Raw genomic sequence first — 1,583 nt, 5'->3', positions numbered from 1 at the left:
AGTTTTATAGCTTTTTAAATCTATAATAACTTTTGCTTCAGTTATTGTTGGCTTTATTTTGTGTTATGTCTGCTGTAATATTAATTTTGAATTGAAAAAAATGTGTTTGTATTTCTTAGGTAATCCTGAGCCATTACTCTTGATAATTGCTCTTGTCCACAGCTGGTCCACTTTATGGCTCATCAGGCTCTTTCATAAGTTTCTAACAGCTCTACGAACTCTCAGTAACCATCTGCTCTGTGGCAAATGGGCAAAGTATCTGCCATGGAGTCAAAACACCTCCGGGTAAATGTGGCAAGGTCAAAGGAACTTCTTTGATTCATCCAGAGCCACGTCCAGCAGATAGGGTAGTGGCCATTCCCTAGGAGAAGCTGGGTACTGCTCCTACAACAAGGGCGAAGGAAAATCATGCTTGGACCTAAGAAGGCTTTGCAAGGTCTTGCCTATCCACTTCTTAAGATCTCTCCTTCCCCCAGTCTTTATCCTGCCTGTTGCCCATAGCACACCTCCGTATCCCATGTCTCACTTTGGGATATGAACCTCAGTTAGCCCCCTCCCCAGGGTACTTATGCAGGGGCTTGGGAAATTACCAATGGAGGACCAGCCCAACACTCCCTTCTCTACTAGTACCCAACACCCACCTCCCCTCCCAAATCCAATGCTCTTCTTCCCTCCCATACCTAGCACTCCCTCTCACCTGTATTAGTCCATTCTCCCACTGCTATTAAGGAATACTTGAGACTGGGTAATTTATAAGGAAAGAGGTTTAATTGGCTCAGGGTTCTGCAGGCTGCACAGGAAGCATGGCGGCATGTTCTCAGCTTCAATCATGGTGGAAGGTGAAGGGGAAGCCTGCACTTCACATGGCCGGAGAGGGAGGAAGGGAGAGACGGGGAGGTACCACACACTTTTAAACAGCCAGATCTTGTGAGGACTCACTCACTGTCATGAGAACAGCACCCAGGGGGAACTCCACCCCCATGATCCAATCACCTCCCACCAGGCCCCACCTCCAACACTGGGGATTACAATTCTACATGAGGTTTGGGCAGACACACAGATCGAAACCATATCACCAACCATACCCAACGCTCCTTCTCTGCTAGTACCCCATGCTTCCCTTTTTGACTCATGCTTCAGACTGCCGCCCACTGCCAGAGAAAATGCAAACGCAACTGGCTGGGCCCCCAGGGAACAGGGAACGCAATCCTGGCTGCAGCCCTTGGCTGCACAGGACACCCTGTCTGCGCCTCTGGATGCTCTACAGTGACTCAGTTTCCCTCTCTGTGCACCCCACCTGCCCCTCACTCTCAGCTGATGCCCTGGCTCCCTGCTTCTCTGAGCAGACAGGGACCGTCCCTCAAATCCCTTCTTGCCTTCCTGCAACCCCCGACAGCCGAACTTGCATCCACGCTTTATCTTCTCCCCTGGTGCCCCAACGCCCTACGTATGGTTTATTAAGAACCGTTCCCCAGTGATGATCTCTCCCTCTTTGTTGTCTTCAGTCTTCTCTGTGCAAGGGGCACGGCACCCCTAAGGCACCCTTGAGTCCTGTTATCCGGGGACATCTCAGGCTCTCTCTC

This window comes from Homo sapiens, chromosome 2, assembly GCF_000001405.40.
Source record: "Homo sapiens chromosome 2, GRCh38.p14 Primary Assembly".
Lineage (NCBI taxonomy): Eukaryota > Metazoa > Chordata > Mammalia > Primates > Hominidae > Homo > Homo sapiens.
The sequence above is the reverse complement of the archived record's forward strand: the minus strand, read 5'-3'. Positions refer to the sequence as shown.